The sequence below is a fragment of the Homo sapiens genome, chromosome 4 (assembly GCF_000001405.40).
Source record: "Homo sapiens chromosome 4, GRCh38.p14 Primary Assembly".
Classification (NCBI taxonomy): Eukaryota; Metazoa; Chordata; class Mammalia; order Primates; family Hominidae; genus Homo; species Homo sapiens.
In genome coordinates this window covers 140,309,735-140,321,922 of record NC_000004.12, presented here as the reverse complement: position 1 = coordinate 140,321,922, position 12,188 = coordinate 140,309,735, and the positions used below count along the sequence as shown (strand labels likewise).

General features: G+C 41.6%; 1 protein-coding gene, 1 long non-coding RNA gene and 1 pseudogene across 2 annotated transcripts in view, besides 1 other annotated feature; 2 read left to right on the top strand and 1 right to left on the bottom strand.

Moving 5' to 3' along the window:
• The window catches only part of SCOC (short coiled-coil protein), a 128,421-nt gene that overhangs the window by 63,806 nt on the left and 52,427 nt on the right, over nt 1-12,188 (bottom strand). The window lies entirely within an intron of this gene.
• Nucleotides 1-12,188, top strand: part of SCOC-AS1 (SCOC antisense RNA 1) — an 89,667-nt gene that overhangs the window by 51,470 nt on the left and 26,009 nt on the right. The window lies entirely within an intron of this gene.
• Nucleotides 5,337-6,016: an enhancer, noted in NCBI's record as "OCT4-NANOG hESC enhancer chr4:141237061-141237740 (GRCh37/hg19 assembly coordinates)". NCBI's record gives its function as "activates a minimal SCP1, AML or CMV promoter by ChIP-STARR-seq in naive and primed H9 embryonic stem cells {active_cell/tissue: H9 hESC(naive and primed)}" and the evidence as "EXISTENCE:reporter gene assay evidence [ECO:0000049][PMID:30033119]".
• NDUFB4P9 (NADH:ubiquinone oxidoreductase subunit B4 pseudogene 9) lies at nt 7,373-7,760 on the top strand (annotated as a pseudogene).

The following is a 12,188-nucleotide window of genomic DNA, read 5'->3' as shown; positions in this document are numbered from 1 at the left end:
AGCCCTCATAATCTAAACACCTCCCATTAAGACCCATCTCTAAGACATTGTTGCATTAGGGATTGAGTTTTTAACACATGAATCTGAGGGGGATACATTCAGAACATAAGAATGTCTGTCAGTAATTAGAAAATTGCCAGCAATTATTTCTTAAACATTTCTTCTACCCATTCTTTCTTCTCATTCTGGGATTTCAAATTATGTATATGTTAGACTGTCTAATATTGTCCCATAGCTCTTGGAGATTTTGTCCTATTTTTTTCCACTCTGTTCTCCTTCTGTTTCAGTTTGAGTAAATTTTATTGACCTATATTCCACTTCATTAATTATTTCCTTGACTATATCAAGTCTACTGGTAAGCCCATGAAAGACAGTCTTCATATCTTCTACTGTGTTTTTGATGTCTAGCATTTTTAGTTGATTCTTTCTTGTTGTTTCTATCTCTCTGTTGAACTTATCTATCTGATCTTGCATGTTGTCCACCTTTTCCATTAGTCTTTAACATATTTGTCATAGTTATTTAAAATTCCCTGTCTGATAAATCCAACATGTTTATGAGGCTGGTTCTGTTGATTACTTTGGGAAACACAGTTTTCCATACTGTGTTTTTTCTTGCCTTTTTGTGTACCATGGGATTTTTTGATGAATGGTAAATATGTTATACAGGGCAGTAGATACTATGTAAATATTTTTATGCTTGGAACTGAGCATGCCTTTCCTTCTGCTAGACTTTTAATGTGGGAATTTGTGTTAATTTAGTCCAGAGTTGGACTGGAAGTTTGTTATTGCTATGGTTACCCTCAGGGGTCCAGAAGCTTTAAACTCCCCTAGTGATATATTGTTTCTGTCTCTTCTCTTGGTTTTGAGTCTCCCCTTTGCACTATCCTCCGGAGAGAGTCTGTAAGTAGTTCTCCAAACTATATTCTGATGCAACTCTTGTTAGCATGGTGGCAGAGAGAGGGAGAGGGGCGACCTCTTATATTCTTACGAAGCATCAGTCTTAGCAGAAACTGAAAACCTGGGTCTCAGTGGCTCCTGCAACTTTTCCAGCTGTAGTGCTGGCCTAGCAAATATTCCTGCCCTGCCCCCAAAGTGAAGCTTCTTTTCCCTCGTATTCTCCTCTCCTAGCTGCAGTCAGTTTCCAGTGGTACAGTTTTGACCAACTTCCCTTTGCAGATTAAAGCTTTGTTGGGTAGGGAAGATGAAGGGAATGTATCAGGGTGGTGTTTGGGCAGTGGCTGCTATTCCCCTTCTCCAGCCAGCATCTTGGAGGACATTTTCTGAGGCTTCTCCTTGATCTACCCTGTGAGCTCCTATTGTTCTTGGAGGGAAAAACTGTAAGACAGTGTGAACCCTCTGTGTCTGCAGCCCCTGGGACTTCACACTCTCATGCTAGTGTTACCGGAAACTGGTCCTGATCCACACCCTGAGAAAGGGTTCTTGGATCTTGTGCAAGAAAGAATTTAGGGCAAGTCCATACAGTAAAGTGAAAGCAGTTTATTAAGAAAGTAGAGGCATAAAAGAATGGCTACTCCATAGACAGAGCAGCCCCGAGGGCTGCTGGTTGCCCATTTTTATGGTTCTTGATGATATGCTAAACAAGAGGTGGGTTATTCATGCCTCCCCTTTTTAGACAATATAGGGTAACTTCCTGAGGTTGTCATGGCATTTGTAAACTGTCATGGTGCTGGTGAAAGTGTGTCAGTGAGGACAACCAGAGGTTACTCTTCGTGGCCATCTTGGTTTTGGTGGGTTTTAGCCGGCTTCTTTACTGCAATCTGTTTTATCAGCAAAGTCTTTATGATCCGTATCTTGTGCAGACCTCCTATCTCATCCTGTGACTTAGAATGCCTAACCATCTGGGAACACAGCCCAGTAGGTCTCAGCCTTATTTTACCCAGCCCCTTGGAGTTGCTCCGGTTCAAATGCCTCTGATACTAGCTCACACTTGGCCTTTAGCAATTCTTTAAACATTTCTAGCATAAGCTTCTTACCAGTTTTTTATGCATTTGGCAGTATCTGTTCTAGGTAAGTGTATGCTTGAATACTGTTTCTCCCTGCAGGCCCTTGTCTTTCTCTTGGTTTTAAGAAAGTTATTTGCCTATAACATAAGTTCTCTCATAGGTTCAAAAAAGTTGTTAATTTTGTAGTTTAGTTTTTTTTTTCTCATTGTTAGAATGGGAGAAGTACTTTTCTAACCTCTTAAATCTCCGAGCTTTAACAAGAACCATTATTTATTTTAGAATTTTAAATTTCTCCAGCATTAACTTGATCTTGAAAGTTTTAGAGAATTTTTGCAACAGCCCCAAACCATCTTTCTGTGTATATTTGGAAATTAGAACTGAGAATCACTAGTAAAGATGGTATAAAAATGAGAAAAAAATGAAATTTGGGGTCACTAAATTGTATTTTTTTTTCTTTTCTGTATGTTTCTCTCACTCAAACTTGGAGCTGGCTGTGTTTCATATGGGCTCAAGGAAATTATTTGGTAGCACAGAAAGCAGAAATAACTCCACGAAGTTCTGGGTTTTGGGCCAGGCACAGTGGCTCATGCCTGTAATCCCAGCACTTTGAGAGGCCAAGGTTGGCGGATCACCTGATGTCAGGAGTGTGAGACCAGCCTGACCAACATGGAGAAACCCCATCTCTACTAAAAATATAAAATTAGCCAGGCGTGGTGGCGCATGGCTGTAATCCCAGCTACTCAGGAGGCTGAGGCAGGATAATCACTTGAACCTGGGAGGCAGAGGTTGCAGTGAGCCAAGGTTGTGTGGTTGCACTCCAGCCTGGGCAACAAGAATGAAACTCCATCTCAAAAAAAGAGAAGTTCTGGGTTTTGTTTCCAGAAGCCTGAGCTCACAGTAGAACTTAGAGCGTTTACAATAAAGAAGAAAAAAATGGGAGCCTTGTTAGAAGAAACAAAAAGGATAACTGGAGGAATAGAAGGCTTCCTAGAGTAGAAAAAAGGTTCCTGCACCAGAAGTGGAGATGAAGGGAGGCCTTGGAATAGACAAGAAAAGATGCTGCAAGTGTAGCAGGACGAGCCACAGACAAAACCCCTCAGACACTGAGTTAAAGAAGGAAGGGCTTTTGGGTTGGTTCCAAGTCTTTGCTATTGTGAATAATGCCGCAATAAACATACGTGTGCATGTGTCTTTATAGCAGCATGATTTATAGTCATTTGGGTATATACCCAGTAATGGGATGGCTGGGTCAAATGGTATTTCTAGTTCTAGATCCCTGAGGAATCGCCACACTGACTTCCACAATGGTTGAACTAGTTTACAGTCCCACCAACAGTGTAAAAGTGTTCCTATTTCTCCACATCCTCTCCAGCACCTGTTGTTTCCTGACTTTTTAATGATTGCCATTCTAACTGGTATGAGATGATATCTCATAGTGGTTTTGATTTGCATTTCTCTGATGGCCAGTGATGATGAGCATTTTTTCATGTGTTTTTTGGCTGCATAAATGTCTTCTTTTGAGAAGTGTCTGTTCATGTCCCTCGCCCACTTTTTGATGGGGTTGTTTGTTTTTTTCTTGTAAATTTGTTTGAGTTCATTGTAGATTCTGGATATTAGCCCTTTGTCAGATGAGTAGGTTGCGAAAATTTTCTCCCATGTTTTAGGTTGCCTGTTCACTCTGATGGTAGTTTCTTTTGCTGTGCAGAAGCTCTTTAGTTTAATTAGATCCCATTTGTCAATTTTGGCTTTGGTTGCCATTGCTTTTGGTGTTTTGGACATGAAGTCCTTGCCCACGCCTATGTCCTGAATGGTAATGCCTAGGTTTTCTTCTAGGGTTTTTATGGTTTTAGGTCTAACGTTTAAATCAACTGGATTAAGAAAATGTGGCACATATACACCATGGAATACTATGCAGCCATAAAAAATGATGAGTTCATGTCCTTTGTAGGGACATGGATGAAATTGGAAACCATCATTCTCAGTAAACTATCGCAAGAACAAAAAACCAAACACCGCATATTCTCACTCATAGGTGGGAATTGAACAATGAGATCACATGGACACAGGAAGGGGAATATCACACTCTGGGGACTGTGGTGGGGAGGGGGGAGGGGGGAGGGATAGCACTGGGAGATATACCTAATGCTAGATGACGAGTTAGTGGGTGCAGCGCGCCAGCATGGCACATGCATACATATGTAACTAACCTGCACAATGTGCATATGTACCCTAAAACTTAAAGTATAATTAAAAATAATAATAATAATAATAATACAAATAAAATAAATAAAATAAAATAAAAATGCAAACAGTAGAAAAAAAAAAAAAAGAAGGAAGGGCTTTATTCAGCTGGGAGCGTCAGCAAGACTCATGTCTCAAAAACTGAGCTCCCCCAGTGAGCAATTCCTGTCTCTTTTAAGGGCTTACAACTCTAAGGGGGTCCGCAAGAGAGGGTCGTGATCGATTGAGCAAGCAGTAGGTACGTGACTGGGGGCTGCATGCACCGGTAATCAGAACGGAACAGAACAGGACAGGGATTTTCACAATGCTTTTCCATACAATGTCTGAAATCTATAGATAACACAAGCAATTAGGTCAGGGGTTGATTTTTAACTACCAGGCCCAGGACACGGTGCTGTGCTATCTGCCTGTAGATTCCATTTCTGCCTTTTAGTTTTTACTTCTTCTTTGTTTGGAGGCAGAAATTGGGCATAAGACAATATGAGGGGTGGTCTCCTCCCTAACAAGAACCCATAGAGAAAGAGCTGCATGCAGTATCTAGGCAAACAACACCCCTAAGCCATCTTACAAGAGAGTCCCCTGTCTTAGGTGTGGCTTGGAAGCATCAAAATGTCAGCAGTCCTGAAAAGCCCTTAAGATCATGGACAACGGAAGTGTTCGTGGAAACCTGTGGAACAGACGAAAACAACGAGTCTCCATAGACACCTTCACACTGCAGAATATGCTGGGCACTGACATGACCTTGAGAAGGGAGGGGAGGCTCCGACAATGACTCAGATTATATTTTCTCATGAGCCTGGAGAGATTAGTCAAATTTAATTGATTTCTAGAAAATAAAGAGATTTAGTATTGCTTGCATACCTTAATTTGTAGACTGAGAATCATACCTGCTACAAAAGTAATCCATTCCCAGGCACCTAGTTATCATAGTTTCATTGAAAATATTTTATATTTTAGTAACTGAAGAATTTTTCCACTCCAATGCATCTGAGGGATTCAGCATGCCCTCAATTGTAATGATTCCTTCTGGGGTGCAGTGGGGTGGTCAGGGCAGCAAGGGAAAGGCACTTTGAATAAATCCCCAGGTGATTCTGAAAAGGACTCCCTCCACACACTCACTCCCTTTTTCCACCCCTTCTCTGAGAATCTGTGTTCACCTCTTTTGGTCTACGTGTATGTTTTTCAATTAGGACACTAAAACAAAGACACAGTTTGACTCTTGTAAGCAAGAGGTGTGTTCTTACAAAGGTGCACATAAAGCAAATATATCTATATGCAAACATGTAATGCTATATACATAGATTGAAATAATTGCTGTTAATGGCATTACAGACAACTAAAGAATGGGTATGTTTGTGAATCTGTGGCTAAGAGAGAAAAATCCCTAGATTTCCTTCTAGGAAGTCGTTATTGACTTGGGAAACTGTCCCCGATCTGACCCAGCCTCCCACTGAGGTTGTAAGAAGGATCAAGTGAAACACACATAAGCATCTGAATGAAAATGTCCCCAGAGTGAACAATTGAGAGAATTACCACTATCCTCCCATTCACATCTGTTGACTGAGGCCCTGGAGCTGGCATACTGATGAGAGATGCTTGACATTATCATAACAGAGTTGTGTGACTTTTGTTGGTGTTTCTGCCAATGAGGCCTCATTGGGGGATGGCACATTATATGTTACATTTTCTAGAGCTTCTGTCTGGTGCCAGTGTGAAGAAACACAGCTAGAGACCTGGTGATGGGACTTATTTTCTTATTTCTGGAAATGTTTCACCACCGAAAAAGCCACTGCAACCTGCTATCTTAATGCTACAGTACATGTTGGGCCTATTTCTCTTGTCTAATAAAATCATATGATAGCACATCTTCTCTCCCCTGGGTGGAAAAAAGGCCTGAGGCAGGGATCCCTTGGAAATTGCAGTAAAAAGCAAGAACCAGGTAAAAGTAGAGACTTCGAAAAATCTGGGTTAAAGCGTTCAAAGAGCAAGCTGAGAGTGGTAGGTTATCCCTTGTGATTTTTCAGTGGAACACAGAACACATACCCTGGTTCCACTAGACAGTGCAGGGGTCACAGGAGGCCACTGCAGAAAGTCCTGGGAGTTGCCCAAAGGCTCAGCTACTTGGACCTACTAATAGAATAAATCACTGGGAACAGAAATATCCTGTCAAGAAATTGGATGAGATGTGTTTTTCAGAGTTTGCTTTTAGTATAGCACACTGGTTAAGAATTCAAGCTCTACAGTTAAAACCAAATTTGAACCCCAATTCTACCACTTAACTAAATTGGGTGATCTCCAGTCACTTACTAAAATATAAACAGGGAATAGGATTATACCCATCTGAAAGGGTTGTGGTGAGAATTAGATTAGGTAATGTATATTCAGTGCAGAGCCTAAAGAATCACACAATAAATGTTAGATACTGTTAGGCATACCCGTTCCTTTGAAAATACCTAAGCTACTGTCTACTACTTTGTACTGTTACTCAGAGGTCACTTTAGAATGAACCTCCTTGAAAAGGAATGTCTTTGACACACAGGGGAAGAGTGGAGATTTGCATTTTTATTATTTCACTCACTGAAGAGAGAGAATATGGAGTTCTTTACAGGGAACTTGTTAGGATCAAAAAACCAAGTTCTTTAAGTGGGAGTCCTAACATATAGGGACACTAAATTGCCCCTAGTCCTCAGATCCTTGATAGAAACTGTGACCCAATGTTAGATTCTTTTGGGTTCAAGGGACACAGACCCAAATTTGGTGGTTGGGGGTTATTGTAAGAATGAACAGGAAAGTGAGAAAATGGAAAGGAACATTCAGCAACCACACAACCACACCTTGTGGAGAACTTGGTGGGGGGGTGGAGTTCACAGCTGTTCGGGCTCTCAGATCCCAGTGGCACCCCTGGCCCTGGACATCTCATTGCCTTCTGAGGCCAACTTCTCATTGCTCCCCACGCTAGTGTCTCCACTTAGCACCTCGCTAGCTGCTCTGCCAACTTCCACATCTGCCTCTCTTGCTTCCCTCTCCCCTTAAGATTTATATGCAAAAGAGAGAATCTGCCTGGGATATTTTGCTATTTTCCATAAGAATTCATGAGAATTCTTACTCATGAAAGCATTGGAATCCCAAAAGAACACAAAGAATGAGATCTGGGCTGGGTGGCCAAGATGTAGCTCCCAGTATACTCCATCGCGACTGGCCACTCTGCCCTCAACCCTCAACCCAGCTGAATACGACATATCTCTGGAGACCCAGTGGGCACAAGCTGAGCGATTGGCCATAAGGGCCTGGCCTAAACAGGAATACCTGCTTCAGTACAACAACCCTAACCGCCAAGGGCTCATCCAAAATACTGCCTTGATTTGTTGGACCTATGCAAGATCAGCAAGTGTCTATCCCAATTTTAGACCCGCTCCCAAAAACCCTCTCTTGGGAGCTCTCTGTGGAATTGGGCCCCTCTTCTTCTAGTATTATGTTTTCAAAACTGACAGGGATAGAAAAGAAAAACTTATCCAGGAAGGAAAATTGGGCTGAACATTTAACATCTCATGTCAAGTCTGGCAATGGCAATGATGACCATATGCATTCTTTTTTTTTTTTTTTTTAAACAGGGTCTCAGTCTGTCACCCAGGCTGGAGTACAGTGGCGCAGTCTCTGCACCTCCTGGTTCAAGAAATTCTCCCATCTCAGCCTCCAAGGTAGCCAGGACTACAGGCGAGTGCCACCACACCCGGCTAATTTTTTGTATTTTTAGTAAAGACAGGGTTTTGCCATGTTGGCCAGGCTGGTCTGGAATTCCTGACCTCAAGTGAGCCACCCGCCTCAGCCTCCCAAAGTGCTGGGATTACAGGCATGAGCCACCGCACCTAGCCGACTGTATGTATTCTTGCTTAAATAAATATTCTCTTAATCATTTAAAAAAAAAACAGGACTGAATTCTTTCATGAAACGATGGCTTTTTTGCTTTTACTCTTGGCTTTACATTGCGTATTAGCAAGAGGGTCTTGAATTTAGTGGCTGCCTCCACCGGGATACTAGCTTAGGCTCTTAGGTCCGAGACCTCTATCTCTTAGGTGCAGATGGAAGATTTGCAATAAAAGATATCAATTTTCTGCCATTATTACTCTCCACACTTGTTCATATGCTAAGTTTAAAATCTATATTTCCGCCGGGCACAGTCGTTCATGCCTGTAATCCCAGCACTTTGGGAGGCTAAGGCAGGCACATCACCTGAGGTCAGGAGTTCGAGACCAGCCTGACCAATGTGATGAAACCCCATCTCTATTAAAAGTACAAAAATTAGCTGGGTGTGGTGACACGGGCCTATGATCCCAGTTCCTCAGGAGGCTGAGACAGGAGAATCGAGAATCGCTAGAACCCGGGAAGCAGAGGTTGCAGTGAGCTAGATCGCGCCATTGCACTCCAGCCTGGGCAACAAGAACAAAACTCCGTTTCAAAAAACAAATCCGTATTTCCAGTCTGATAACTTTTTGCTTACAGGATAAACTTCAGGTTAGTGACTTTTAGTTTATTTGTTCGGTGGAAGTACAATGTATGGCAAATGCATTGAATAACATCAGGATTCCCTGGCATGAAAAGGTGGAGGACTGACTTAGCGAGAGTTTCCCTAAAGTACCTCTCACATGGGCTTTCCAGCTGGAAAAGAGAAACAGAACCTAAATGACCATCATTTATGATGTCACTTTTACTCAGTTAACATGTAAAATGTCATCTCAATTTTACAGAAAATTCATATGAAGGCTGATGTGACCTTCAAATTAATTTCTGTCTTGATAGGTCTATAGGTTGTAAAATTCCTAGATGGTATAATGGCCAGAATGTTGAGTTTTTCTTAAAAATTCAGCAAAAAGGCATTCTCTTCTTGTTGTAGCAACAATTACAAGGTTATGACATGTGACAACAAAAATACCTAGATTTAAGGATAATTTTACTTCAAACTACCAATTAAATATATAATTATGTGGACAAGGCACTATGGCTCATGCCTGTAATCCCAGGACTTTAGCAGCCAAGTGAGGCAGAAGGATCACTTGAGGTCAGGAGCTTGAGACCAGCTTGTGCAACATGCCAAGACCCCAGCTCTACAAAAATATATTTTTTTAATTAGCCAGGCATGGTGGTGCACACCTATAGTCCTATCTACTCAAGACTGAGGTAGGAGAATTACTTGAGCCCAGGAGTTCGAGGTTACAGTGAGCTATAACGGCACCACTGCACTCCAGTCTTGGCAGCAGAGCTAGACCTGTCTCAAAAATAAATTAATTAATTAATTAAATAAATATATAACTATGTAATCACATATGTAAATCTTGGCCTCCTTGTACTTTCAGTGCCCCCAGTTCAAATGCAAAGGGTATTTTTAGTTCCTGTTTTTCCTTTTTATCAAGCTTGATCAGTGAACGAGAAAGTCTTATCAATCATCTACTTGTTGGAAAGCATAGAGCTTTTGAACCACACAGCTCATTTCAAAATTAGAAATGCCTCCACTGAGGGGCCCATGTCAAGACCTTCCAGAGGCAGTTGTCACTAGATCTTAGGTCTGACATGTGTCTTTGGGTAAAAGCAGCTAAGAAATGTTTCTGGAGATGGTATGGGTGGAGAAAGCAATAGAAGTCGTATTTCTAATTTTTAACAAGTAAATCCCAATTCATATTTGCCAGAAAGCAATATAACTATTTCTCGCTAAAAGTGTTTGTTCTAAAATGTTTGCAAAACAAAATTATTTTTAAAGTACGGCATACTTTCCCATTGACACATTCTAAAGATGCATCCTCAAGGAAAATTTTTAGGTGGCAGAAAAATATTTTCTTACTATTCATAATAATCACTGACATTTACTGAGGGCTAACTACTTGCCAGGCATTGTTCAAAGATCTTTACACAATTCTTTCATTTTATTTCTCACAATGATCCTACTAGGTATTATCTCAATTTCCCAGGTAAGAAATGTAAGACCAAAAGAGTTTAAGTAAGCAGCCCAAAGTCTTATGGTTGGGGTAAAGAAAAGATTAACTCAAGCAGTCTGACCCCAAGGCACCCCTGTTCCCCACACCACTGTGCTGATATCAACACACATCCAGGCTTACCAGGAGGAAGAGGGCATGTTCCTGGTCTGCCAAGCACTGAGATAAAAATACACTGTAAGTTGGATCATGGGGTGTGGGGTCCTCATCTCCACCCTTGATAACATCCTAAGAATTCATCTAGGATGAATTCTGTTTTTCTTGGCTTTAAACTCATTCATTGTAGATGACTGGATAATGCTAATTGCATGACATAGATTCACTCAACATAAGGGGTTATGAGTTAATGTACTCCCTCCCTAGGGGTATTTACAGCATTGGTAGTTGAATATTAGTTTATGTTAATTGAATGAAGATACTACAGTTTCACAAGTGCTACTGAGAAACAATTGGAGAAATCAGACAAGTGAAGGTTAAAAAAAATCTTTTTTTATTATTTTTAAGAGATAGGGGTCTGTTGCCCAGGCTAGAGTGTAGTGGCACAATCATAGCTCACTGCAGCCTTGAGCTCCTGGGCTCAAGTGGTCCTCCCACTTCAGCCTCCCAAGTAGTTAGTAGTTAGGACTGCAGGTGTGCACTACCATGCCTGGCTAAAAACCTGTTTTATTAAGGATAAGTTAGATTGAGGAGTAGGAGTTAACTGTGGCACAGGCAGACTCTCTAATGTTTTTCCCTAGGTCTAACACTTGGTACATCTCACTCAAGGAAGGGTTGGCTCCTCAGAGCACACACACAGAGCAAAACAGCTGCATCATCTGCATCTGCTATGTCTCTACACTGGAACAAAGTGAGAGCTAGGATTTGAGACCTGGCCCTGGAAGCAGAGCTGGCTCCTAACCCCATCATGACTGCCACCCACAAGACAGGAGGTGGGCAAAACACACCCACCCTCGGGGGGAGATCCGAAGAAGAAGGGACAGGAAGAGCAGAGTTTCCCATGAGCCTGGAGAAACTCCCCACTTCACCAGGCAGCTAAATCATGACTAGTCCCTCAGGGAAAAGTGAACAGGGCTGAGAGGGGCTAAAGCTACTTTTCCCAATGCTTTCAAAAGAATGAAAACTCCTATCATATTGTCCAAAGCAGGAATGCACGAGGGAGAAGGAAGGTTCCCAACAATGCAAGAAATTATGTCAAATGCTCTATGCCTACTGGTTGCTGCTTTACAGACACATTGCACATAGAGCGAAAGTTCCTGAAGGGTTTATTGTTCTTCAGAATTTATTTAAGATTTGACCAGAACCTTGTAAAAAAGGATATACCAATCCCACTGGCAACAGGCAGCTGGTAATGCACCCATAACGTCCTAAGAAGAGTGCTATCCAGGAGAGAAACTTGTGACTTCCCCCGGATGAGAAGCAGCAGAAGCCTATTTGAAATAAGGAAGCATCATCTTTAAAGAGCCTTTAATTAATATTGTATCACTTCCAGCCCTGTAGGAATTCAACAATGGAGCAACCCAACCAAGTACAACTGGTTGAAGATCAATCAGATTTGGATTTTCATGTGACAAAGATTTTTTTAAAATATAAAGCATAAGAATTTACAATAATCTCCTTCACCATATTTTAGGGAAGATTATTGTTTCAGTGGCTCAGTTCCTATGCCTTTGGATGCCTTTGGTGTGCTGGTCAGAGAAATGGGTAGAAAAGATAAAGTATGGGGAGAAAGTAAAGAGAGGTTTACTTGATCTACATGGGAAAGGGCATAGAGCCACCTAAGGAGGCAATGAAAACATTTAGAACTTGGCAAGGATAGCAAGACAGAGGGAAGGAGGGAGTGTCAAGAGAGGCAACCTAGGCTGGAGATTTTGAAAGAGAGAAGAGAAATTTCAGTAGCTGCCATGAGCTGTGGGGTTTGGGGGAGACAGGAATGGAAAAGTGGATTTGTTGCAAGTTTGAATAGGCACTTCAGAGTAACTCTCTTTTACTCCTGTTCAAG